This window comes from Homo sapiens, chromosome 13, assembly GCF_000001405.40.
Source record: "Homo sapiens chromosome 13, GRCh38.p14 Primary Assembly".
NCBI classification, from domain to species: domain Eukaryota; kingdom Metazoa; phylum Chordata; class Mammalia; order Primates; family Hominidae; genus Homo; species Homo sapiens.
Window position 1 is genome coordinate 30,732,092 of NC_000013.11, and position 26,695 is coordinate 30,758,786.

Consider the following 26,695-nt stretch of genomic DNA (forward strand, 5'->3'; position numbering starts at 1 on the left):
GTGGACTCCCTCCATCCCCGGGCCTCTGCACGTGCTCTGCGCGCTGGCTGGGGGTGACTCCAAGGAGCTCAGAGCGGGGTGCCCGGCACCTCTCGCCAGGCGCCTTTCGACCTTCTAAAGCGCGAATGGCTGGACTTTTCTCCCATGTGTGGGGCCCCAGAAGGTGTGGGGCCCCAGAAGGTGTGGGGTCCCTGCGTTCCACGGAGCCCGGAAGGTTTCCAGTGATGGTGGGGGCTGACCACGTTGGTCCCCGTGGGTGCTGTTTTCATGTGCCGGCAGATTGGGATGAGTTTAAAAGACAGAAGCGTGTAGGATAGAGAAACTTCTTTAAAAACTGGAAATTTTAATCTGGGGATTATAACTATTGGACAGTCAAGTGCAAGAGTGAATACACTTCTCACTCCCTCCTCCCAATTTTTATTTGCGGGATTAGTCAGTCCCCCTCTGCCACATGATAATTGTGAGAACTACCAGGGTCTTCATTCTCCTGCCATCTGGTTGACCTCTCCAAGAATGGACACCCGGGCAGCCTGGGCCAATGAGGCTGTCCTAAGAGTTTAGATGAGAGAAGTCAGTCTTTGACAGGTGATGGAAGCTGTAAAATGTAAAACTCCACAGTTGGTGAAGATGTCTCCAGGAAACAGGTCTGCAGAGAGAATACGTTTGACATGCTAAGAGAAGCTGAGAGAGAGCGAGAGGAGAGATTGGAAGAAAGACAGAGACAGAGGTAGAGAGAAGGGAAAGAGAGAGAGAAAGGGACAGAAGAGAGAGAAAAAAGAGGGGGCCGGGCGCGGTGGCTCACGCCTGTAATCTCAGCACTTTGGGAGGCCGAGGCGGGCAGATCACGAGGTCAGGAGATCGAGACCATCCCGGCTAACACGGTGAAACCCCCGTCTCTACTAAAAAATATAAAAAAAATTAGCCAGGCGTGGTGGTGGGTGCCTGTAGTCCCAGCTACTGAGGAGGCTGAGACAGGAGAATGGCGTGAACCCGGGAGGCAGAGCTTGCAGTGAGCTGAGATCGCGCCACTGCACTCCAGCCTGGGCAACAGAGCAAGACTCCGTCTCAAAAAAAAAAAAAAAAAAGAGAGGAAGGGCGGGAGAGAGAGAGAGAGAAAGCTCTCTAGCTCCAAGGCCTAACCACATCTCTGTTCTTTTCAACTTCAGCTGTCAGATTTTTAGACTCTTTGAGTGAATAAATTCTCCTTTTTGCTTAAACTAGTTTGAGCTAAGTTTCTATTGCTTGCAACTGGAATACTTTGTAAGAGGACTGGCCTTCATTTCTGATGCATTGTCACTAAGATGTAAGTGTTAGAAGAGCTAACGCTTTATGGGGTTCAAACTCCTTGGCTACCAAAACCTAAACATCCCCTGAAACTTACCAAACTGCAGGTATGAATTGGATCTCACTAAGGTGAATATACAAATCTTGCAAGTGCTGAGCCCTAACCAATCTTGTAATAACTCTGTGGTAGTTAATTTTATGTCAAATTGATTGAGCTAAAAAATGCCCAGGTAGCTGGTAAAATGTTTTTTTCTGGGTGTGTTAGGGAGGGTGTTTCTGAAAGAGATCAGCACTGGAATCAGCGGACTAAGTAAAGAATTCCCACCCTCACCAATATGGTGGGTGTCATCAATCCACTGAGGGCCTGAATAGAACAAAAAGCGGGCAGAAGGGCAAATTCCCTCTTCTTCTTGAGCTGGGCCATCCATCTTCTCCTGCCCTTGGACACTGGAGCCCCTTGTTCTCCAGCTTTTGGATTCAGACTGGGTCTTGCACCATTGCCCTCCATCTTCTCCTGCCCTTGGACACTGGAGCCCCTTGTTCTCCAGCTTTTGGATTCAGACTGGGTCTTGCACCATTGCCCTCCTTGATGCTCAGGCCTTTGAATGCAGACTGGTCTCCACCAGCAGCTTTTCTGAGTCTCCAGCTTGCAGATGGCAAACCATGAAACTTCATGGTGTCCATGAGCATGTGAACCAATTTCTATTATAAATCTGCAATATATATATATGAGGAGACTTATTTATATATTGGTTCAGTTTCTCTGGAGAGCCTTGGCTAATATAAAGTCTATACTCTACAAAGTGCCCTAGGTACTCAGGGAGTACCCAAGTGTGTCATGACCAGCCCGACAGCCCTGGCTGCTGGCTTCCCCGCACACAACTCTGCACGCTGCCTTCATCAGCCTTTCTCTCTCAGCTGAACCGAGGGCATTGAAGCGGGCCTCTGGCACTGTACCTATGAGGGAGCAATATCTTCCCCTACACTGACCTCTTCCGTGCCGAGATGCAGCCCTCCCTGCTGCCACTAGTTACAGTGGTCCATGTTCCCTTTCAAAGTGAAGTTTTGATAAAAGCACCTCTTAACCAATGCCAAATAGCTAAGTCTGGGACAAAGATTGCAGGTATTTTGCATTTTCCATGTAACCTCAGAGGGATTGCCATTCACACTGATCTGAGCTGCAGAATACCAGGCAGCCACCTCACCCACCCAGCAGGTCCACTCTTATACTTTCTCAGAAAGCACAGCCACTCTACTCTTATTCAGTTGAAAAGAATTTCCAGGAAGGTGTTTCTGCGATTGCCTCAGAAAAGTCAGTTCCCTTTGGGAATTTCCCTTAGGGATCATCTGTAACTCCATTTCTGCCTTTTACCTGAATTCTTTGGTTTGGTTTGAATTCTTTGGTTTAATTTATGAATTCCCTTTATTACTTTTCTCTGAAGAAATGGAGATATCAGCTGTCCCTCCCCACTGCCATTTATTCCTTCCTTCATTCAAACCTTATGTGGCTGCTACTTACCGTGTGTTAAGTGTTCACTTTTTTTCTTGGAATTCAAAAAAAGAAGGACAGTATTTGGGGCACAGATCTTTTGGTGTTCTATACATTTTTTTAAAGTTTCATTTTACATTTGTGTGTGCGTGTGTGTGTGTGTGTGAGACAGTCTTGCTCTGTTGCCCAGGCTGGAGTGCAGTGGCATAATCATTGGCTCACTGTAGCCTCAAAGTCCTGGGCCCAAGCAATCTTCCCACCTCAGCCACCCAAAATGCTGGGGTTACAGGTTTATGCCACTCTGTCTGACCTGAAAGTTTTGGGTTTACTTTCCCTTCTTTCTCTTTGCTGAAGTCAGAGATGATGGCAGCTTCCAGATTCTCTGGTGCCTGTGCTGGGCTCGTGCTGGTCATGGTCTTGGGTCCAGGATTCATTCTGGAGACTCTCAGGGAAGTTTCCCATGACAAGGAAATGTAGGAGAGTGTGCTGGCTTTGCGTGCTCCTCTGCCAAGCCCTGCTTCTCCTGGTGGGACACACTGAACCACAGCCAGGGCATTTTGGTGGTTAGTTAAAAAAAAAAAAAAAAAAAAAAAAAGGAAGAAGAAGGCACTGTGTAATTGTGCCGGGGATCTTCAGAAATTGTAATGATGAAAGAGTGCAAGCTCTCACTTCCCCTTCCTGTACAGGGCAGGTTGTGCAGCTGGAGGCAGAGCAGTCCTCTCTGGGGAGCCTGAAGCAAACATGGATCAAGAAACTGTAGGCAATGTTGTCCTGTTGGCCATCGTCACCCTCATCAGCGTGGTCCAGAATGGTAAGGAAAGCCCTTCACTCAGGGAAGAACAGAAGGGGAGATTTTCTTTGATGGTTGTTTGGAAGTCAGGCTTAAACAATTGTGTCTGTGTGTGCGCATGCACAAACACTTTTACCTTATCTTTATTTTCTTCTTTTTATTTGAATGTATAGGGTTGTGTGTATTTCTGTGTAAATTTGGGGTTTTCCTCCTCTTAGTCTTTCACTTTTGTGGTGATTACCAGTCCCATTTTTAGAGCCAGGGCTGCAACTTGAAGGTTTTGCTAAAACCCTCACCGAAGTGTCTATGATCAGCATTTTAACTATTAATTAATGTGGCCAGGCAAGGGGTGGAAGGTGAGAAGACTAGAAAGGGAACATGATATACACATTTACTCAGATACTGGGCTTTTCTAACATCTGCAGTGCAATTGAAGTTACCAGTCATCTGCAGTCTAAAAAGAAAGTGATTTTGGGAGGTGCGTAGAAAAAATCATCTTATTATTTTTCCTCTATATTACTTTTTTCTTTTTTTCTCCTGAAGAAACTTTTTTTTTTGGTGATACCTTCTTTTTCTCTAGCACGTATAATTTTGGAAGCATTTTTCATATGCAGTGTATACTTCAGAAAGAGAGAGAGAGAGAGGAAAATTGTCCTGTTCAGCGTTTGCATTTCCATTATTCCTGCTATTAGTTAAAAACAACAACAACAACAAAAAACAAGCAGGATACCTAGATCTGGAAAAGGGAGAATTGTGTAGAGCTGTCTTCCTAAAGTTCTGAGTTAGGGCTGCCTCAGACCACTTTCATAACTATCTCCAGTGGCTTTGTGTTTTATATTTATTAAGATAGAGAAAAAAAGAGTAATTACTAAGGGCAGCTGCTGTAGCTTTATGGTGATTACTGAACATTGACATGCTGTCACGTTTTTGGAACTTTGAGTATTTAATCACTTTGGGATATTCTATTTTCCCCCATCTTGAGTGTGGACAGATGCTGGTGATGTAGCCTTCTGGGCACAGAGCAAGCCTCCCCCTCAGCCTCTGCACCAGAAAGGCTCAGCTTCACACACTCCAAGTATGTTTTCTACAAGAACTACACTTTGTGGCTTTCTGACCCAAACATTTTTATACTAAATTACACACAACAAAGTTGTAGCTCAGAGAGGGAACAAATGGCTTATTTAGGCCACCATTTTCTTGAGCCATTATGATTTCACACAGGGCTCCCTTGGCCCTGTAAATTGGCAAGGATTCCATTATTCAACCCGCATACATGTACAGAGACCCTGCTCTGGCCCAGATAGTATTCTGGGTACAGGCGGATAGAGCAGGAAACAAAACAGCTACAGTGATGGACAGGTCAGCCTGCAGCAATGCCTGCAGTCTCTGCAAAGGTAGCTGTATGGGTGGGCAGGTGGCTAGCACTTATTCAGCTCTGGAAGGATCTCCCCTCTGGCCTCTCCCCTGACACCCATCAATAAAACTGAGGAGCATCGGTGGACAGGGGACCTTGTGCCCCCTCCCTGCCTGTGCAGTTGGGGCTGAACCCAGCTACGAAGTTTGAGCTCACTCTCTCCAGCTCCCTCTCAATTCAGAGCTGAACTGTGGGAAGCTTCAGAGCTCTCTGTTTCAAGGACAGGTTCTCCTCACCTCTCCTAATGGAGGTGCACCAGGGAACTGGCCCTGCTCTGCCCAGGGCTTTCTCCTGGACTTTGCCATCATGGTCTAGCAAACCCTGTTCAGATTGAGGTGAGTGGTGAGATTTCGAATTCTTTTTGACAGATAGGATTAAGTCTTCTTCTGTGGGACAAGTGGGAGGTAGAGGTAAGATTAAAGATGGCCAAATGTCTGAGTCCTGACAGCCACAATATGGAGATCTAGACTTTTTACAGACCACAGGGCACAGGGGCCTCACTAACAGAGTTCCCGGAAGTGATGAGTGTGCTGGGGGCTTCCTGGTTGAAGAGACACTAGAATGGACCAGCTGGGAGCTAATTTTTTGGGCTGGAGTGTGATGGCCTGCACATCACTGCCTCTGTCCCTCCATTGTCACAGCTGCCCCTTAGGAGCCAGCTGAGGCAATTTGTGGTCAGAGTGACTTTGCACAGTTGTCCTGCCTGTGTTCAGGAAGGGAGTTTCTGTGGTCCCTTTGAAACCACAGAAGAGCCCCTCGTATAGCTCTCAATGGAGGGGGCAAAACATTCAAATAACTCAGGAGATAACACAACTATTTGTTTTTAACTGTGAGTTTTTAGGCAATCACAAAGATCCAGATGTATGTCCAAGCCTCTCTTTGCAATTCTAATTAACCTCAATGTTGCAACCATAGACCTACCTTACAGAGTTCAAAAAAATATGCAAAAACCCTGCCTTTCTTCTTCCTCATACCCCAAAATGCCATTCTGAACATTTCCTGTTAGTTAAAAAAAGATTTCCATGGTGTTACCAGGCACTGTACACAGTCTGTGTCCCAAGACAAGGAGGTACAGTTCCACATGCGCCCATGACTGGGTTGGGCTCTGCACTCTCTCTATACTTTGAGAGCCTGATTTTCTGTGATTGGGCAGAGCTGGCCCACCTGGTGCAATGTCCTCCTCTGCCTTTCAAACATGTTTTAGTCATCAAGATCTTCAAATTTGTAACCCTTTCCAGCTTGATCCAGCAGAATGCAGATTTGGAAAAACAGAACGAGTTTAAAATACATGATTCTAAGAAACCTGGACCAGAACTATCAAAACTTGGTTTCCCAGAGAATATAGCAAATGGGCTCATTGGCCAATACTATGACATTGGCTTTTGAGAAAAGAAAGGCTTTATTGCAAGGCTGGCCAGCAAGGAGACAGGAGTTGGGCTCAAATCTGTCTCCCCAGTTTGGGGCTTAGGGCAAGTTTTAATTACACAGACGCATTTCTTATGAGTAGCAGGCAGAGAGCCTCCAACTTCTTCTGCCTAGGTACCAGCAGCTTAGACATGATGCAAACCTGGGAAGCACATACTGTATTTGGAGAAAGTGATTGGGAAGAAATGTGAGCTGAGGGGAGGGGCTCAGTGCCCCTGAGCTACACTTAGTGATGGCAGAGGAAGGATGTCCTCCCGCAGGAGGCTGTTCCACATCTGCTCTGGTTGTAGGGGGAGCTGGCAGGCATTAGCAGCGGCCTCTTTCCCCCAAGAGAGGCAGCCTCCTCCAAGTTTTGGCGACATTATGGCCCTGCAATCATAAGGGTTTGTGAGCATAGTGCTAAGGAGGGAAATGGAGCTGCTGTTACTAGTTCCACCCCAACACACACACACACACTCACAAGAAACCTCACAAGCACCGTATTGGAAGACTTTGCCATCCAACCTGGGATTTGACAGGCTCTAGAAGCAGAATCATAGACTCATGAAGTTCCCCCAAAGCAGGAATCTTCCTTACAGTAACCCCCAACCACCCCCCTCCACCGCCTCCACCGGCTGCTTCTTCCTGAACACTGCAGTGTTTGGAAAACTCACAAACTTCCAAGCTTGCCTTTCCTATTGTTGCATGGATTGAAAGCTTGCGTTGTGTGAAGAATGGCGCTTCCTGCTGTGCTTAGTTTTATCTCATATAATCTTTGCACCATTTAATCCTTGCACTCACCCACTCATGCAACTGCCTTTGCAGAGACTGGAGGGGCCGCTGTAGGCTGACCTTTCCTTCACTGTACCTATTTTGTTCCCTGCTTTATTCCCCTGCACCCAGGACACTGCCTGGCACAAAGACAGGTCTTTATAAGTGTATGCAAGTGAATAAAGATATATATATTATTATTGTTATTTTTGAGACAGTTTCACTCTGTCACCCAGGCTGGAGTGCAGTAGCGCAATCTCAGCTGACTGCAACCTCTGCCTCCCAGGCTCAAGTGATTCTCATGTCTCAGCCTCCTGAGTAGCTAGGACTACAAGCATGTGCCACCACGCCCAGCTAATTTTTGTATTTTTAGTAAGGACAGGGTTTCACCATGTTGGCCAGGTTGGCCTCCAACTCCTGACCTCAAGTCATCCTCCTGCCTCGACCTCCCAAAGTGCTGGGATTACAGGCATGAAACCAGCCTAGAAATACATACTATTATTTATTCTTGTTTTACAGATAAGCAAAGTGAGTCATGGAGAATTTGGTTGAAAGTCCCAAGGTCAGGAGTCGTGAAGCTGGGATTAAAACCTAATCATCTGACTTTAGAGAGTAGACACTTGCTCCATGCATATTGCCTCCAATTCATTCATTCAAGCACTCCCTGCTCAAGAAGTTCTTTCTTATGTTGAGCTGAAATCTGCAGCCCTATGCGTTTTACCCAGCAGTCCTGGTGCTGTTCCCTAAAATCACTTAGACTGTGCCTGCTCTTTCTGTGTTTACAGTGTCAGCTGTAATATCCCCCTCTTCGGCCTAACGTTTCTGAAGTCCCTTGCCACTGGGTCTCCTCTCCTCTTCCTGTGTTCTTTCTAAGAACACCTATGCAGATAGGTGTCTTCTGTACAGGGAAGCTGTTCCTGAGATCCGGGCATCGACTCTGTTAGAATAATCTACGTATGAGTTATTTTTTTGAGAACTATGTGTCATTGCTGACTCATATTAACTCTGTGGTTAACTAAAATCTCAAGATCTCTTTATGTTTGTTGAGAAACTTATTTAACTTCTCTGGCCCTCCGTTTCCTTCACTGAGCAGTGGAGTGATTGATAACCTCCACCTGTGGTTGCTGAAGGTCTTGCACAAGATGATATAGTTAAAGTAGCTAGCAGTGCCCACGTACGGCGGATGCCTCACAACGGTTTGCAGCCATCTCTCTATCTGTGTCTTTGTCTCTCTCTCACACTGGTTTTGGCTTACTGTTAGCAGCTAGCCGAGATAAGTGTGTTTATGGTCTTTGCATGTATTGTTTCTGTAGCATACTGGAGGATTACAAGAGGTTGGGGAGTGAGGGGGCGGTGAGGAGTAGACAAAGGCAGCCAACTCTTCCAAGTTTAGCTTAGAAGGAAGGAGCGGTAAACCCTAGTTGAATGTTGGACTGAAGCAGGTTTGTTTTTGTTTTGTTTAAAGGATAGGGAAGATCTGTGCGTGTTTCCAGGATAAAGAAAAGGAGAGAATATGATATTAAAGATTCTGGAAGTGGGAGAAGGAGCAATGAAATACAGACTTGAAGTCAGTGGCATGGACAGGGTCAAGATCACAGTTAGAGGATGCAGCCTTAGAGAAAAGGAAGGGGCTCGGTTCTCTGAGCAAGGAGGGAAAGAAGAGAGGCAGATGCAGAGAAGTACGGCACATCGTGCTGCTGGTTGTAGAAATAACCTCTGACTTTTAATAAAGTCATCCCTCGGTATCCCTGGGGGATTAGTTCTATGACCTCCCTCGGATGCCAAAATTCGTGGATGCTCAAGTCCCTGATATAAAATGGCATAGTATTTGCATTTAACCTACACACATCCTCCATATCCTTTTTTTTTTTTTTTTTTTTTTTTTTTTTTTTTTTGTGAGATGGAGTCTTGCTCTGTCGCCCTGGCTGGAGTACAGTGGCTCGATCTTGGCTCACTGCAAGCTCCGCCTCCCGGGTTCATGCCATTCTCCTGCCTCAGCCTACAGGTGCCTGCCACCACGCCCAGCTAATTTTTTTTTTGTATTTTTTAGTAGAGACAGGGTTTCACCATGTTAGCCAGGATGGTCTCGACACATCCTCCATATACTTTAAGTAACCTCTAGATAATCTCTAGATTACTTGTTTTGTCTTTTTTTTTTTTTTTTCTTTTTGAGATGGAGTTTCACTCTTGTCACCCAGGCTGGAGTGCAATGGTGCAATCTCAGTTCACTGCAACCTCCGCCTCCTGGGTTCAAGCAATTCTCCTGTCTCAGCCTCCTGTGTAGCTAGGATTACAGGCCCCTCCCCACCCCCACCCCCCAACAACTGGCTAATTTTTGTATTTTTAGTAGAGATGGGGTGTCACCACGTTGGCCTGGCTGGTCTTGAACTCCTGACCTCAGGTGATCTACCCGCTTCAGCCTCCCAAAGTGATGGGATTATAGGCATGAGCCACTGTGTGTGGCCTAGATTACTTATAATACCTGATAGAATGTAAATGCTATGTAAACAGTTGTTATACTGTATTGTTAAAAGACAGTAACAAGAAAAAAAATCTGTACATGTTCAGTCCAGACAAATGGTTTTCTGTTTTTTTTTTTTTTTTTTAATATTTTTGGTCAGTGGTTGGTTGACTCCAGGAATGCAGAACCCGCAGATATAGAAGGTTGATTATGCGTTCAGAGGCAGGGAATACCATCTTGGGTTCCAGAAAGAAAATGATCAGCATTTTCTGTCATACTCTGGTAAAAACAGATCTTTTGAATGGACAGGTGTATTAAACCCTGTGGAGCTGGCTGGGCCTGGCGGCTCACGCCTGTAATCCCAGCACTTTGGGAGGCTGAGGCAGGTGGATCACGAGGTCAGGAGTTCGAGACCAGCCTGGCCAATATGGTGAAACCCCAACTCTACTAAAAATACAAAAATTAGCCGGGCGTGATGACGCATGCCTGTAGTCCCAGCTACTCGGGAGGCTGAGGCAGAAGAATCGCTTGAACCCTGGAGGTGGAGGTTGCAGTGAGCCGAGATCACGCCACTGCACTCCAGCCTGGGCAACAGAGTGAGACTCCGTATCTAAAAAAAAAAAACAAAAACCTGTGGAGCTGATGAAATCCTGCAGGGAGCTTCACGGTGACAGCAAGAGGAGAAACACATCCCCATATGCCCCGCAGAGTTTGAAGTCCCGGCTGCACCTCTCCCCAGCAGCAGGTTGACTCTGGAAAGTTGCAGCGTTCTTACCTACAGAGTGGGAACAGTACTACCCATTGCACAGAGTGGGTGCAAAGCTCTGTGACGGAATACATGGCAAGTGCCCACCACATTGCCTGGGATGAGGTGGGCCCTTCCTTTACGTAAGAGAGCCCTACAGATACACTCAAAGTGGGCACATTCCTACAGAAGGAGTGTTATTTGTGTAGAAAAGAAAAACATGAAAGGCTTTTATTCCTATACACAATAAAGCACCCCTTTAATGTCTTTTTGAGGAGGATAATATGAAATTGATGAAAAGGAACCCTGTGGTTGGATCCCTGACAATCACATGTATCCCTTTTTTCACTCTTGAAAAAGGAGTAAAGGAATAAAATAGAAGGGGAGAGGGGGCAGAGAGACCTTCACCGCCCCCCCCCCACCCCCCATCATCCAATCTATAGTCAAACCCTCCAGACTGTGTCTCCTTGGCATCTCTGACACCCCCACCGCCACCACCCCAGTCAATTCCTATCTTATCCCCCTATCCTGGATCTGATTCTGCTAAGTTCCTGCCACACTAAAGACAGGGTGGCTTTCTGATGACAACATTCCTCTGCTTAAACCTGTCAGTAATTCCTTGTTGCTCTCAGACGGAACTAAGTTCTGAATTTCTTCACACGGCTCTCAGCAAGGTCACAGTCACCCTGCTAGGCCCCAGGGGCAAATCTCAATGGTCATCTTCTTGAAGACCTGGCTCAGTTATTTCTTTCTCATTGAGGCTCACGACCCCACCTTCTTGCATGCCTCAAACGGCCCCTTACCATGCTCTTCTTTCGCCCATAGCTCAGCACACCATATCATTTTAATTTATGTATTTTGCTTAATGTGGATGATCTGTCTCCTCCTCTGCTGTCCTCACCAGAGCATCAGTTCCTCAAACCAAGGCTCTTTGTTTTGTTCTTGGATGCAAGCTAAATGTCTGGCATGTGGCAAATGGTCATAGATACATGTCATTGAAAGAATGATTCATCACCTCCCTCTTTGGCCTTGTCTGTGGTTCTACCAAATCCCATTCCCTCCCCAGTGCCCTCCATTCCCCCTCCTTGGCTGAACATTCTGAACCACAGACAGTTCTTTACCCTGAACCTTTGCATATTTTGTTCTCTTAGCTTAGAGCGGCCCCTCTCCCTCCGTCTGCTTGGCTAATTTCTACTTGTTCTTCAGATTTTATCTTAGATGTCATTCCCTCAAGGAATCCTTCTGTGACTCAACATGGAATTAAGTTGCCTCCTTTGACCCTGAAAGCACCATGTACTCAATCTCATCTTGGCATGACTCACTTTGCTGTGTGGAATGTCTGCTTTCCTTGTTTGTCTATTCCTTTAGACTGTAAGATCCTAGAAAGTGGGGGCCGTGCCTTGCTCATGACTGTGTTTCTAACACCAAACACAGTGTTCAGTAGAGAGCAGCTGCTGAGTACGTTTCTGCTAAATGACAGTTGATGGAGGACATTTAGGGTTGCTTGGAGGTCAAGTCAAGGAGGCATTTAACATTCTAGTAAAACAAGGAAGTAACAGGCTCCTGAACATGCCCACAATGAACCAGATGCAAACCTTTTCCCTTGGCAGGATTCTTTGCCCATAAAGTGGAGCACGAAAGCAGGACCCAGAATGGGAGGAGCTTCCAGAGGACCGGAACACTTGCCTTTGAGCGGGTCTACACTGCCAAGTGAGTCCTAACCCTGATGTTGCTAATAAGTGGGGGCATGGGCAGGGGGGCCTCCTTCTAGGAGTGATGACCACCCTTAATACCACATGTCTGTCTGAGCCAAGTTTCTGAGCGCCAGGGAGGTGAGGAAGGTTGGACTTCACCAGAGAGGCTTTGTGGACACCCTTTATCATCTTAGTGAGTGCTAGTGTCAAAACAAAGGGAGTGGGGATATGGGGCACATTGGTGGAGGGAGGTGTGATCTCTGCAGCTTCAGAAAGATCTGAAAGAGTCATTTGGTTAGAGAAGTTGACCTATTTCCTGTGGGGTTAGACCAGGGTTGCTACTGTGAACACCAGCCATGACTCACCAGTCACCTTCAGAAGCCACAGGCAGGACATGCTGACGACAGCCTTCAACTCACCCACCCCTTGCTCCCCTGCGGGTGGAAGTCTGGAGGTGACACCACTGCATTTTCTAACACGGGGGCTCCTTGAGCAACTAGAACAAGAACAGAAAGAATGGGGACATTAGCAGGTGCTTTCCCCCTCTCTCATTCTTTTCTTTGAATAAAAAGGTTGTTTGAAAACACCTGAGCGGCTCCTAAAGATGGGTGCAATCTATTCGGGATGCAAATCCGAATGAATGTTATTCAAATGCTCCTCTCTTCTTTATGCAGAGTGTATTTCAAGGCTCAGCCAGTGGCAGGCATGCTGGGGACTATGGACTACGGACTAGGGGCCTGTCACAGAGGAAGGCCTCATGCTAGAGAGCTAAGGGAGGAGCTGGCCTTCAGTTCCATCCCAGGAGCAACTTTGATGTTCCCAGAGATCCTTCCAAAGGGGGAGTCATGGTCACCCAAGAAAAATGTATTCAGAATGCCAAGAATGGTGCAAACTCAGGACAAAGATTCACACTGCAGGGTTGGAGTCCCTGGGCTTGCTGCTGGCACCATGGGAGGGAGGGTCCCCTTCAGGGGTACCGTTGGTTTCCTGTGAATTAAACTGGCTTCAAGGGATCTCGACTGAACAGGCCTATATCACACTCACTGATATACTCTCTCTTCAGTCCTTCTCCTCATCTAGGTATTTTTAATTGTTTCAGTGAGGTGTAGGCATGAGGGGATTGGAGGGGGCATCTCCTCCATTGCAGTTTTTCATTGGCTGCTTTGCTCCCTCAGCTCCGAAATCGCTGGGCCACTCTCGAACGCATTAGTACGGTAGTCACAGGTTGATTGCCTGGCCCCTTGCCCTCTGTGGGCATTTTCCCTTTCAGACAGCCCCTGAGTACTCACAGTGCTGCTACAGTGGGCCACCTAGATCTCCCTCTTTCTCCATGCTCCCACGTGCTCTGGGCTCCACTCCCTTCTCCCAAGCACTTCTGTCCAGGGCTATTCCAGCAGTCTGACCTCAAGGAAATCCTTTGCTAAACTGATTATAGAGAGGTTTCTATTTTAACATTTAGGTCTTCCATGTATTAATTCTCAGAATCAATTTAAGATGTTTAAAGGTGTGATTTAAGACATTTTAAAACCATTTGGAGGAGAGTACAGAAATTATGTCACTTGCTGTCAGCCTCTTTGCACCATCTGCAGAGAAAGATACTAGAGTCCCGCCTTGGACACATCCACATGCAAGAGGTGCAAAGAAGGTGTCTTTGATGAGGCAAGGTCAAAACTTCTCCCCAGACGAAATCCAAAGAAAGCATTCCTACTATGCTATATCAGTTTGGAAAGAAAAACTTCTGCCAGGTGACTGCATTCTCACTGGTCACATTGTGTTCCTATGGACTCCTCAGCTCAACCAATTTGGAGAAGTTATGGTGCAATTTCACCATATCTGGTTAGAAGTTAAGTTTCCAATTTGCTGGCAATGAAGAAGAAATGGAGCAGGCCAGGCTGTGTAGTTTCTGCCACGTGCCCCCGGGAGTGAACAGCTCTGTTTGTAAGAAGCCATGGTGCTTAGACCTGGGCTCGCTAGTTGCCAGCCTCCAAATTGCAGAAGTGCCCTTTGGTTGGTGGCTATGCTGTGTCACTTGGGAAGGTCGTTTGGAAGTTCCACAGTCGTTGTGGGGTGCCAGAGATTAAAAAGCGTAAGAGGAGAGTGGAAAGTGATTGTTGCTGCTTGGGCATCCCCACCGTGTGGGTGCTGCAGCCCAGCTCTCAAAACCCATGGGTCTGTACACTCAACCTCCATGAGAGGGAAGGAGAAGGATGAGGGAGGGGAGAGATAGCCATGGAAAGGTAGGAACTAAGCAGGCAGGGTGGAGAGTTTTCTGTAAGACAAAAACTGTCTGGACACTGCTGCGGTTCTGTTACAAAGACCACTTCCTCCCTGGGCCAGCAACATATCTGTGTGCCTGTCTGGGTTGTAAAAAGGGTCAAAGATCAATGCAGCAGGCAGCTACATGCTGGCAAAAGCCAGAGGCAGCTGGTCTGTTTGCCTGTGCCAGGAAACCACTGGGAATGGGGTTGTGTGTTATTCTAGGAGAAAGTCGTCCCAGCAGCAGCTTCTCCAGGGGCATCCAAGAGCACTGAAAAGGGTTGCAAGATGACCCATGAGGCTGCAGGAAGAAAAGAACATGCATTTAATCTTGCTATCTGAAAAGTAAGACATGAAGCTTTCCTCATTTTTAATATACACATGGACAGTAGTATGTGTATATAGTTTATATGCAAATATACTTGTTATAAGGTTGCATGCTCAAAATTTTTGGTTCATGGGGTGTGGGATCATAAATGTTTAGGGACCATGGCTATCAAGGAAAAACAGCATGAAGGATAAATGATACTGGTGGATTAAAAAGACAGATGCATGTATTTTTAGCATAAAACACAACTGCTGACTGATACAGATAGCTCAAGATTCTGGGGCAGCTGCTGAACAGATACACTAGCCAGTGTGGCTCATCGGCTCAGACTTGGCCTTAATTAATGGGCTGTCCCTCCACCCATCTCCCATGAGGGCAGAGCTGAGCCAGGGTTTGAGAGCTAAAAGGAATTGGACCTGGACTCTGTTCACGTGTATATTTTAATTCTAATTAATTCATTCTTTTGAAAGACAGAGTCACACTCTGTTGCCTAGGCTGGAGTGCAGTGGCACGATCTTGGCTCACTGCAACCTCGGCCTCCCAGGTTCAAGTTATTCTCCTGCTTCAGCCTCCTGAGTAGCTGGGATTATAGGCACATGCCCCCATGCCTGACTAATTTTTGTATTTTTAGTAGAGACGGGGTTTCACCATGTCAGGCTGGTCTTGAACTCCTGACCTCAGGTTATCCACCCGCCTTGGCCCCTCAAAGTGTTGGAATTACAGGTGTGAGCCACCGTGCCTGGCCTGTTCACATGTATAAAACACAGTTTAATGTCCTATTCCCAGCCAATGAGCATGGCTAGAGCAGCCTTGGTCAAAGTTTGGTTTTTGGAGAAAAATCCTTGTTAGCTGACCTAAGATTCCTCTTTGTGAGTGTAAGTAAGCACAGGTTGCAGAGAGGAGAAGGGTCTCTGGAGAGGTGTAATTTTCTAAATGGATTACAAGTTCATGGACTTTTAACAGGTGTTACAGGGGATAACAAGTTCTTTATAGACAGACTTTTGAGGACGTTTAAGGGTATTCTGATTCTTGGTTTTCTAAGAGGGGAATGTATTATTTAACTACAGACACCCCTACCGCCCACTTTTTGCAGAGTGTATCAAAACATGTTTTTGGAATACCACCCTCATGTCGCTTCTCCCTGCATCTCTTATCTCTTGGTGTCCATTCTAGACTCACTTTCTTTCTGTTTTTTATTTTTATTTTTTTTTGAGATGGAGCTTCACTCTGTCACCAGGCTGGAGTGCAGTGGTGCAATCTTGGCTGACTGCAACCTCTGCCTTCCGGGCTTAAGCAATTTTTGTGCCTCAGCCTCCTGAGTAGCTGGGATTACAGCATGCACCACCATGTCCGGCTAATTTTTGTATCTTTAGTAGAGACAGGGTTTCACTATGCTGGCCAGCCTGGTCTCAAACTCCTTACCTCAGGTGATCTGCCCGCCTCGGCCTCCCAGAGTGCTCAGATTACAGACGTGAGCCACTGGTGCCTGGCCTAGACTCACTTTCAAGTGGCATAGACTTGTAAAATTATTTAAAGGTGATAGGTCTACAATGATCCTGTCAATTAGTATTGACACTATTATTAATAAACTGTTATTAATTATATTTACTTACTTTAAATTAATCCAAACTAATTAACGGAACACTAAAGAGTTTCTATGTTTTATTCCCAGAGGTGGAGAAAAATGAAAGGGAATATAGCAACGAATTCTTTTCTCCATAAAAACATGAATAGTGCAGCACATCAAGTTGAACATACCACAGCAAATTGTTGCAAGATCTGCTGAGTAGCTCCTATTTAGACCTCAAGGAATGAGACTCAAAATGGGTTCATCAGTTCTGTTTTGCAGAAAAAATAGCGCAAAATTTCTCAAAAGAAAATCCAGAATAATAATAATTTGTCAATAGGAAAGACATTTCCACTGGGGGTTAAGAAGGAAGACATTGGAACAATGATAGCCACCACTTATTGAATGCTTACTGTGAGCCAGGTGGCACTTCACCTTGTTTCATTCTCACAACAGTCTAGGGAAGTAATTACTAATGTCTCCATCCACCTCTTGTAGATGAGCAAACTGAGGCTCATTGAGGCTAGGAAATGCACCCACACTCACATAGCCCATAAGAGGCAGCCATGGCATTGGGCCCAGACCATGTGAACTTCAAAGACTACACGAGCAGCCACTGGGCAGCTGTCATGGCTAAAGCCACTTGAATTCAGCCCAGCAGCAACCCCCTCTCCAGGAGGGGCACATAAGCTTGCAGCTTTGGGTAGAAGCTGCACTTGAAGTCCTGGATGGCGAGAGGGACTGGCTTGAGCCAGAGCCAGGAACAAGGCTCTGAGAATATTCTGGAAATCCACAGGAGGAACCCATTTTCTTACAGCTGGGAGAATTTCATTCAACTCCAGGCTGACCATGTTTTATTAGGAACGAAGGTGACTTGAACTAATAGTCAGGAATGGTTGAATACGGACCCAATGTCAAATCACTAGGCAGTTCACATTTCTAATGAGCAAATCCCTTAGACAATTAAGAATTTTTTTCCTTTTGCATAACCCAGACAAAATCGCTACTTAAAAACAAACCAAAGACCCGAAACATGAGAAAGAGAAGGAAGCAGGGGAAATCTTTGGTACTAATAAGTTTTTAAACAATAAGAGCACCAGATATTTTACCCCATCAGACACAGAATGTTATTCGAATAACCAAAAAAGGAATTTTTTCTCTAAGTTTCTTGAACTGGAAAATGAATCATATTTTCTCAGTCCTGAGGCTGCAATTTTGTGCCTCTAGTAACATATAAGAATAGATGTGATGCCAGTGCCCAGTAGCTGCTGCAATTGTTACTTGGGGACCTGTTTATTCACTAAGCACTTCACCCCAGTGATAAATTTGTAGGGGCCTCCTGCCCTTTGGAGCTCCTACCGTGTCCATTAGATCAGTGGAAATTCTGGGATTCAGAGCACTTTGCAAGGTCAGCAGGGGTCTGCTCTTTCTGTCCTGTTCCTGGTTTTTGGTTGTGCCTGGATTCCAGGGTAGGTTTCTCATCTGTTACCTTCATAGACTTCTCCAGAAAAGGATCTTTTGACCATCAGAGGACCACGAAGATTCCATTGGTGAGGCGCAGATAACCTGATCTCTCTGGGTTCTCTGCAGGGCACAGATGAAGGGCTGGCCATTCCCAAGTTCTCAGTGGTACCACTGAGGCATGAGACCCTAATGGTTTGCATGAGCAGTTTGAAAATTGCATCTTTGTTTTTACCTATATAATCACATGAAACCCGTGGTTCTCAAACGTCAGCAGGCATCAGCATCACATGGAGGGCTTGTTAAAACAGATTTCTGGGCCCCAACACAGAGTTTTAAATTCTGAAGGCCTGAGGTGGGTGTGAACATTTGCATTTCTAACATGTTCTCGATGCTGCTGCCGCCTCTGGTCCCGAGAGCATGCCTGGAGAACTGCCACCTTCGACCATGGACTGTGAGAATTCACATGGACCTCAGAATTATAATCAGTCTCTCAGTTTTACAGATAAGGAAACTAAATCCAGAGAGATTGTTTTGCCAATGGTGAACAGCTGGTTAAAGTCAGGATGGAGACTTTAATCCTAGTCAAGTGACCTTTCCTCTGTATTTATTTCCCTCCCTTTTTATGCCTCTCAAGTCTAGTTACACTGTTTTTCATGGATGGGCATATTTATTGTCCTGATCTGGACTGCAGACTTCTCAGGAGGACACCTATGATTTAATTTAGTATAGTTGAAGAGTTAACAGACATGGCTTTGGAGACAGACTGATTATGGTGTGAATCCCGGCTTTGCCACTCCCTAGCTGGATGACCCTGAGCAAGTTATTCAGCTTCTCCAAGCCTGAGTTCCTTATTGGAAACATGAGAGCAATTGTGATAGGCAGAATAATGGCCCCCTCACCAATCATGCCCACATCCTAATCCTAGGAACCTGTGAATATGTTATGTTACATGGCAAGGGGAAATTCAGGCAGCTAGCCAGTTGGCCTTAAAATAAAGAGATTATCCTGGATGATCTGGGTAGGACCTGATGTAACCACAAGGGTCTTTTTAATGTGGAAGAAGGAGGCATAAGAGTAGATGTCAGAGTCATTCAAAATAAGAAAGATTTGATGGGCCATCCCTGACTTTCAGGTTGGAAGGAGGTTCTGAGTCAAGGAATACAGGTGACCTCTAGAAGCTGGAGAAGGCAAGGAAATGGTTTCTCCCCTAGAAGTTCCAGAAGGATTGCAGCCCTGCTAATATCTTGACTTTATAGCCCTTTGAGATTTATTTTGGATTTCTGACATCCTGAACCATAGTAAAAGGGTGTTTTTTGTTTTTTTGAGACAGAGTCTTGCTCTGTTGCCTGGGCTGGAGTGCAGTGGTGTGATCTTGGCTCGCTGCAACCTCCGCCTCCCAGGTTCAAGTGATTCTCCTGCCTCAGCCTCCTGAGTAGCTGGGATTACAGGTGCTTGCCACCACACCTGGCTATTTTTTGTGTTTTTAGTAGAGACAGGGTTTCACCATGTTGGCCAGGCTGGTCTTGAACTCCTGACCTTGTGATCTGCCTGCCTCAGCCTCCCAAATTGCTGGGATTACAAGGCGTGTTGTTTTAAGCCACTCAGTTTGTGGCCACTTGTTACAGCAGCAAGAGGAAACTCATACAGTTATCATGTGAACTCACAGGAATATGGTGAGTTAAAAAGAGAGGAAGGGTGCAAAACATCCACGGTAGAGTGAGAACTCTCCAGGGAGTGAGGACTGTGCCCAGCATACAGTGATCACCCTCTTAGTAAGCTAAGTTTCTGAGCACCAGCTTTTTTGAGTTGACTTTGTTGTCTTTAACATTTGAAGATCACCCTTCTTTGCTCAGCCTGGCTTGCAGACCTGGGCTGATTTGTGGATCTGATAGAAAAGTTTCCTTAGTTGGGCTCTTCTCCCCGACCACCCCCATGCCAGTGTGGCCACATCCTCTGTCTGCATTGCTCACTCTTCAATTCCAAGAAGCGCAGGGGCACCGCCAGGAACAGGAACCCTGCCAGAGGAATACATCAAGAAACCAAGTCTCCCTTACGCATCACCGTAGGAACAGAGTTAATGGATTATGAACATGTGTTTGCTTTATACCATTGTTTGTTTCCCAGGTGGCAGCTGGCTGCCCCATCTTATTGGGTAGATGTAAGTGGAATTACGAATGGGATTTATGTTTCATGCACGATGGTGATTATTAACTTCAACTTTCAGGTAATTTTCAGACCACATTGCACTAACTTGGTCTCTGATTGTTTTTCTCCTTGTTTGTTTATTCTGCAGCCAGAACTGTGTAGATGCGTACCCCACTTTCCTCGCTGTGCTCTGGTCTGCGGGGCTACTTTGCAGCCAAGGTAACTCAGACTTCCCTTTGTTCATTCTCCTTCTATAAAGTGCATCTCAAGGAGGTTCAAAGGGCAGGCTTTTTGTTGAAAGGACTTTGCCTGACCTCTGGCTCCCATCTGTGAAGCCCTGGAGAGGTGAGAGCCCTCGGGAGGCCGTGTTTCAGGCATGCTCTGCACCCGTGCAGAGCGCGTGTGATAATGCATTGCTAATGCTTGCTCCCTGGTGGCTGGCTGAGAGCTGCTGTGCTGACAAGGGTGGTTTAAGGCTAAATGTGACTCAGAATCCTTAAGCAGTGTTAGTTCAGATACAAGGGCATTATAAATGAGAGTGCCTGAGGGATCTATTTTGGGACCGCTGTCACTTGGCTCTTCTGCTAATAAGCTTCCAGTGTGGTGGCCCTCCTTCAGGCATGTTTCCACTGAGCCACGGGCTGGATGCCACATCCCCGGCCTTCCCACAGTTATCAGCAGCCCACAGGCTTGACTTGAGCAAGTTGGAAAGACAAATCAACTTCCAGAGTTGATTTAACATTGAGTGGAAATCAGTCATACTTTTGGTCCCCTTTCGGGGCCACGCCTGGCACTGTGCCTGGTGGCAGATCGGCATGAACTGGCCAGCTTCTGTGGCCCTGGAGGGCACAGGCAGAAAGGCCACACTCAGTCCCATGATGAACTGTTTAAGACTTATTGTTGTCTCCCCGCTCTGTAAAGTAGATAGAGTGGATTTTATGTCCCTTATTACCTTTCAGGATACTTTGACTCAGGGAGATAAAGTAACTTGGGTACAGCTACTCAGCTGGTGAAGAACACAGGCAGAATGAGTGCCTGGGTCTTTTGACTTAAAATTCTGGATTTTTCACAAAGATCCTCTTACTTTATTCATTTACATAATAAATATATATTGAAGAGCTACTCTGTGCCAAGCCCTGTGCCTAGATATACAGTGATAAATAAAGAGTAGCTTCTAGAGGTCACCTGGCGGTGAGGCACAGGCCAGCTGGCAAGATGGACCACAGAAGTCAGTGAATGAAGACAATGACAAGGGTGGGAAGCGCCATATGGGAAGAGAACCAAGTTCAGTGATAGAGAGCAGAGGTGAGGCGGCAGCAGAAACCACTTAAGGGACACCACGTGGCACTCCTTCTGTGCTGAGAAGGCTGTCAGTAAGCTCACCATTTATTTCCTATTTTCTCTCCTGAGTTAAATAGGAAACATGTCTCGCATTACTTGAAAAATCAAGTCAAACTATGCTCTTACTAGGAGTTATGGTTCTTTTTATGTCTTAGATGATGCTTGATCTAGATGAATGCGGACTTGCTGTAGCTAGATAAATACAATGGGAGTTTGAAGGTGTTTCGTAGCCCTGGAAATAGGTATTTCCTGTCAAAACAAGCTTTGTCATTGCCAGCAGACAAAAGCATCAGTAACCTTGGTTGATAATCGTCATTTCTTAGGAATAAAGTAGACTGTAGAATTTTTTTTAGCAGAAAGGAAACCCAAAGATAATTCTAGTGCAAATCCCTCACTTTATAGAGCAGAAGCTCAAGTCCCAGAGGAACAAGTGGCTTGAACGAACATCAGAATTTTAGGGGCTGGATTTGTACCCTCCTGGTGCCAGCAGCCCACTTCCCTGCAGGAGGCACTCACCTTCCTTGCACAGGGGTATGAGTGTGGCCATTTTCCACCCATAATCTCTGTTAGCTCATGTTCAATTGGGTTCCCATTGAAAGAAAAATGGACCAGTAAGTTGGAGCAGAATCATTCAGATGGTATAACATAAGGAAAAACTTTGCCCAAGGCAAATCGTGATTGTGACAGCTTTGTGATTTTTAGAGAATAGCATGGGCCAGGCACAGTGGCTCATGCCTGTAATCCCAGCACTTTGGGAGGCCGAGGCAGGCAGGTCACTTGAGGTTGGGAGTTCGACAACAGCCTGACCAACATGGAGAAACCCTGTCTCTACTAAAAATACAAAATTAGCTGGGCGTGGTGGTGCATGCCTGTAATGCCAGCTACTCGGGAGGCTGAGGCAGGAGAATCACTTAAACCTGGGAGGCGGAGGTTGCGGTGAACCAAGATAGCACCATTGCACTCCAGCCTGGGCAACAAGAGTGAAACTCCGTCTCAAAAAGAGTTCACAGTTTCTCTTTTGCTTTGATTTTCTTATCTGCCGGATAACAATAGTATTTTGGAAGGCAGGAGGAATTGTGGAAAGAAATGGGTTTTGGGGAGTGGCTGATTGGAGGCAAATCCAAGGACACTCATTGCTGGTGTGTGACTCCAGGCAGTTACTCAGCTTTTCCAAGCCTCAGTTTCCTTATTGTAAAACAGGACCATGGTCTAGCTAGTAGCATTCCTATGGTGAGTGAAATAATATGTATAAAGCTCCTGACACAGTGCTTGGCATATATCAGATTGAGCCATGTAAAACTGCCAATATCTGGCTATTTATGACCTACAAAAATAGCATTTCATATGATTCCACCTAACATCTGAAGCGCAATAAATGTTATTATTGATAATGCAGGTGGTGGTGATAAAGTTTTGAAATCAGAAAGACCTGGCTTCAAATTCCACGCCTTCACTGGCCTGACTTATTTTCATTCATTTGACAAATATTATTTTGAACACCCCTATGTGCCAGGCACTATGCCAGGCTCAGAGATGATCTAGGAAAAAGACAGATGTCCTCATCTGTCTTAGGCTCTTGTGGCCTAAGCCTAAATTTCCTCGTCTGTCAAATGGTGACAGTAACACACTCCTTACCAGAGAGCTGGGAGGATTGGAGACTCAAGTTCCCAAAACGCCAGGAGCACTGCGGCAGGTGAAAAGTATTCCCTCAATGGCGGAAGTGTTTAAATTGCTTTTATATCTGTAGCTCTAGATAACACTAGTTCCAGCTTAGTTAACTCCCAGCTCCAAGCCTTCAGGACTTCATAGAGTTATTGGGGTGCTGCTCTTGGCAGTTTCCCAAAAAGCTAGAATGCAGAGGGAATCTCCTTCCCAAAAAGCTAGAATGCAGAGGGAATCTCCTTCCCAAAAGGCTAGAACGCAGAGGGAATCTCCTTCCCAAAAGGCTAGAACGCAGAGGGAATCTCCTTCCCAAAAGGCTAGAATGCAGAGGGAATGTCCTTCTCTTCTAAATGGTAGCTGTTAGTTCAAGAAAGGTTAAACATTGTGCTGTGGGGAGGCTCAGGGGTGAAGGGTGTACTTTTAAGAGAACCAGTTTCAGAGCTGGGTTTGGGGTTTAAGCCCTACCCTCTGCCCCCTTTTACGAGCTGACAGCCTTATGCAAGCCTGGTTGACCACCTGAACCCACGTTTCCACATCTGGAAATAGAAATGTGGGTACTAGTTATGTTGAAAGGACTCAGGTTAGATGATAGATATGCAAATACCTTGGAAACCAGGAGTGTCCAGTCTTTTGGGTTCCCTGAGCCACACTGGAAGAAGAGTTGTCTTGGGCCACACATAGAATACACTAACCCTATCAATAGCTGATGAGCTAAAGAAAAAACGTTGCAAAAAAAATCTCATATTTTTAAGAAAGTTTATGAATTTGTGTTGGGCTGTATTCAAAGCCATCCTGGGCCACGTGCGACCCGCAGGCTCCGGGTTGGACAAGTTTGTTGTAAACAATGCCATGATGCCGGCATAAGGTCGTTACCAGTATTAGGAAGGTTCTCAGGTTTCCTCTAGCCCTTGGGCTCTTTTCCTGAAGTGCGTGTGTCTTCTGCTAGATTTTGTGACCAATGTTGATTGCCTAATTGGGCTAACAGCATGTTTTGGTGGCTACGAAACTGACACAGGTGTTTTCATTTCTCCACTTAGTTCCTGCTGCGTTTGCTGGACTGATGTACTTGTTTGTGAGGCAAAAGTACTTTGTCGGTTACCTAGGAGAGAGAACGCAGAGGTAGGTAACTGGGACTACTAAAGAACTGTGGAGCGATTCCTGATTTTTGAGCAGGAAGAGTGACAATTCAAAACAGTATTTGACTAGATTCACGGCTCCGTAGCATCCCCTTGGGTGGGAGGGGGAAGGCTGACTAGGACCTCTGATTCTTCTTTCCCTGAGCTTTGAAGGCTCTGAAAATACAGCTGGGGGGACTTGCCCAGTTTTCTTATTAAGCAATTCCTCCGCATGGTGCTGGCTTTCAAAGGGTGCTTCAGTGCTGTTTGCTGCACGTGCCTTGCAGCCCCACACCCTGCACTCCCGCCCTGCAGAGTCTGGCGCTGGAATGACATTTTAGGTCTGGGTTCCCAGGCCTCCTGAGAGTGAAATGTTTCATTGTTTGTCTAGAGAAATGAGAACTAAAGCTTGCACCTTGTGATAAGTTGTCCTGAGGAACATATCTTTCAGGGACCAGAAGAAAGAATGTTGGGAAAATAAGATGCAGTAAGATGCAGACATGACAGCAGGGTGCAGCGGCTCACGCCTATAATCCCAGCACTTTGGGAGGCTGAGGTGGGTGGATCACCTGAGGTCAGGAGTTTGAGACCAGCCTGGCCAACATGGTGAAACCCCGTCTCTACTAAAAAATATACAAAACATTAGCCAGGCATGGTGGTGGGCGCCTGTAATCCCAGCTACTCCATAGGCTGAGGCTGGAGAATCGCTTGAACCCAGGAGGCAGAGGTTGCAGTGAGCCGAGATTGCGCCACTGCACTCCAGCCTGGGCAACAAAAGCAAAACTCCATCTCAAAAAAAAAAAAAAAAAAAAAAAAAAAGATGCAGACACGAGACTGTGAAACTGACTAGCATCACCATTGCATTGTTTATAGATGTTGCCAGACAGAAAGCCCCAAAGCAGCACAGTACCTTCCTGACATCTGGACTAGGAAATCTAGATTTTAGTAAAATACATGCTAATACTTACAGAAGAAATGTCGGCGTTAGAGTATGCCGTCAGTTCCTTAGAGATTGCAATTCCTAATGCACTAGTATGGTTTCAGGTGCCAGGAACACGTTCTGTGAGGCTGCTGCCCCAGGTGCTGACCCCAGCCTTCCACACCATTTTCCTTCCTTGTGTTCACAGCCGCTCTGTCTTTTACAATAGCACCCCTCTCTAGTGGCTAATGGGCTCTATGATTAGATAGCATCCTTCAGTAGTGATAAAGGCAGTGACATCCTAGGGAGGTCAGCGGGTGAAAGCGCTATATCTGGAAAACCTGAGAGCCTGTGAAGCTCAAGGACTTGACGGGGTTAGACCGTGAGCCGGGCTGCAGCTGGAAAAAGAATGACTGTTCTTTCAGCAGATCCTTCCCTGTGCCATCTCTTTCTTCATTCCTCTCTAGTGGCATTCTTATTTATCCTCTAAAACCACAATTCCATTATCTCTCCTATTCTTATCAACACTGCCCTAAATGATATTCTTTATTCTCTTTTGCCCTGGAAAACCTCTATCATGCCTTTTCCCATGTGATTACCTCGTTAAGAGTGGGGGTGGAATGTCTAGCAATGAAATAAGAGGGTCTTCTCTTTTGCCTGGCTCCCTATGCAGCCCTATCTTACCCCCTGCAAAGTCCCAGGGATGTGGCTCAGTCACTGCTCCTCTCTTCATCTGTCACCACTTGCTTGAGATCCTACAGCTGCTTTAATTCCGAGACCATCTGCAGAACATGACAAAATTTGTCCACCTACCCACATGTCCTTTTAACTTTAAAGGCTTTACTAACTGATTCCTATTAGGGAATGAACAGAGGTGGCAAAAATAAACAATAGGAGATTGATTTACAAGAAATCTTTAAAATAGTAGATTTCTTCGGACCTCATTGAAATATAAATGGCCTGCCTTCTTGTGTCCCTCCCTGGTCTCCCTCTTTAGGTGATAAGAAGAAGATCCTGCCAGCCCCATAACCCGCCATCTGCGCGGGTTCTAGACCCCCTTCTCCTCCCCTCTGGCCGTGGTAGGCATTACTGATGAATCATGGTGCTCTTTCTTCCAGAGACCAAACCTGGCCTCGGAATCCTTCTTAACACAGATACTGCTTAACACAACCACTCTGAGCAGCTGTCATAAGTAGAAGTAATAGATACTAGAAGAAATGTCTAAGCCTAATCTAGACCAAAATACGGCCTGATATAGATGCAAGCCAGAGGGGCTTTATGGTTAAATGCAAGGAGATTTTCAACCCTGCCGTCTAGAAGCTACTTGCTGAGATCTTCTTCAGTTGGGCCCATCTCCTCCCCAGGCCTCTCTTCTGTTCCTGGGCTATGTCACACTTGGACTCTGCAGACACCTAATGCTCTTGGGACCTGCTTTAGTTCTTGACCTCACCAACCGAGGAGGAATTGCTAGATGAGATCCTTCCCCCGGAATTTCTCTCTTGAACCCCAGATGGTCCGTTGCCCCTTTCCAGAAGTTGCTCCAGCCCTGTCCGCTTAGGAAGTTCAGTGTCATCCTTGATCCAGTGGGTAGGGAAGACATTCCATAATGAATGCCCCAGTCTGAGCTTCTTCCTTCAGGCTTCAGGCTGCCCTGCGAGGATTTTGCAGCTCCCTTTTTAATGCCCTCTAGAAGTTTCTGGCTCTTATTTTCAGCCCTTCATCCTACTCTCTCTGACCCCTTCCTCTATCCTGTTTAGTTCACCTGTAGCAGTTACTACCCAGCAGTGAAGGATGAATCTTGGTTTCGTTTCTTTTCTCTTCTTTTCTTTTTTCTCTTCTCTTTTCC

The 26,695-nt window shown here is 46.1% G+C and overlaps 1 protein-coding gene and 1 long non-coding RNA gene across 4 annotated transcripts in view, besides 3 other annotated features; one reads left to right on the forward strand and one right to left on the reverse strand.

Moving 5' to 3' along the window:
- Positions 1–26,695, forward strand: part of ALOX5AP (arachidonate 5-lipoxygenase activating protein) — a 50,942-nt gene that overhangs the window by 18,607 nt on the left and 5,640 nt on the right. The window contains exons 2-5 of one of the 3 annotated variants that reach the window (NM_001204406.2): positions 3,460–3,584; positions 11,969–12,068; positions 19,961–20,031; positions 23,853–23,934. In NM_001204406.2, coding sequence (NP_001191335.1) covers positions 3,460–3,584; positions 11,969–12,068; positions 19,961–20,031; positions 23,853–23,934 — 378 coding nt within the window. Of the gene's footprint in view, positions 1–3,451; positions 3,585–11,912; positions 12,069–14,533; positions 14,654–19,960; positions 20,032–23,852; positions 23,935–26,695 lie in introns of those variants that run through there. The other 2 variants (NM_001629.4, XM_017020522.3) reach the window with 2 other exon arrangements.
- Positions 431–23,508, reverse strand: LOC124903146 (uncharacterized). Its single transcript, XR_007063743.1, has 3 exons — positions 23,420–23,508; positions 12,418–12,548; positions 431–646 (listed from the first exon to the last, which is right to left on the reverse strand). It is a non-coding gene; the product is annotated as an uncharacterized LOC124903146 (long non-coding RNA).
- Positions 6,483–6,674: a silencer, noted in NCBI's record as "fragment chr13:31312711-31312902 (GRCh37/hg19 assembly coordinates)". NCBI's record gives its function as "represses an EF-1alpha promoter that drives an FKBP-Casp9 reporter gene in an ReSE screen in phorbol 12-myristate 13-acetate-treated (for megakaryocytic differentiation) K562 erythroleukemia cells {active_cell/tissue: K562(+PMA)}" and the evidence as "EXISTENCE:reporter gene assay evidence [ECO:0000049][PMID:32094911]".
- Positions 11,584–12,783: an enhancer, noted in NCBI's record as "CDK7 strongly-dependent group 2 enhancer chr13:31317812-31319011 (GRCh37/hg19 assembly coordinates)". NCBI's record gives its function as "activates an origin of replication core promoter dependent on BRD2, BRD4, P300/CBP, MED14 and CDK7 cofactors, with strong dependence on CDK7, by STARR-seq in HCT116 cells {active_cell/tissue: HCT116}" and the evidence as "EXISTENCE:reporter gene assay evidence [ECO:0000049][PMID:35650434]".
- Positions 12,288–12,357: a silencer, noted in NCBI's record as "silent region_5237". NCBI's record gives its function as "represses an Ori minimal core promoter by ATAC-STARR-seq in GM12878 lymphoblastoid cells {active_cell/tissue: GM12878}" and the evidence as "EXISTENCE:reporter gene assay evidence [ECO:0000049][PMID:35858748]".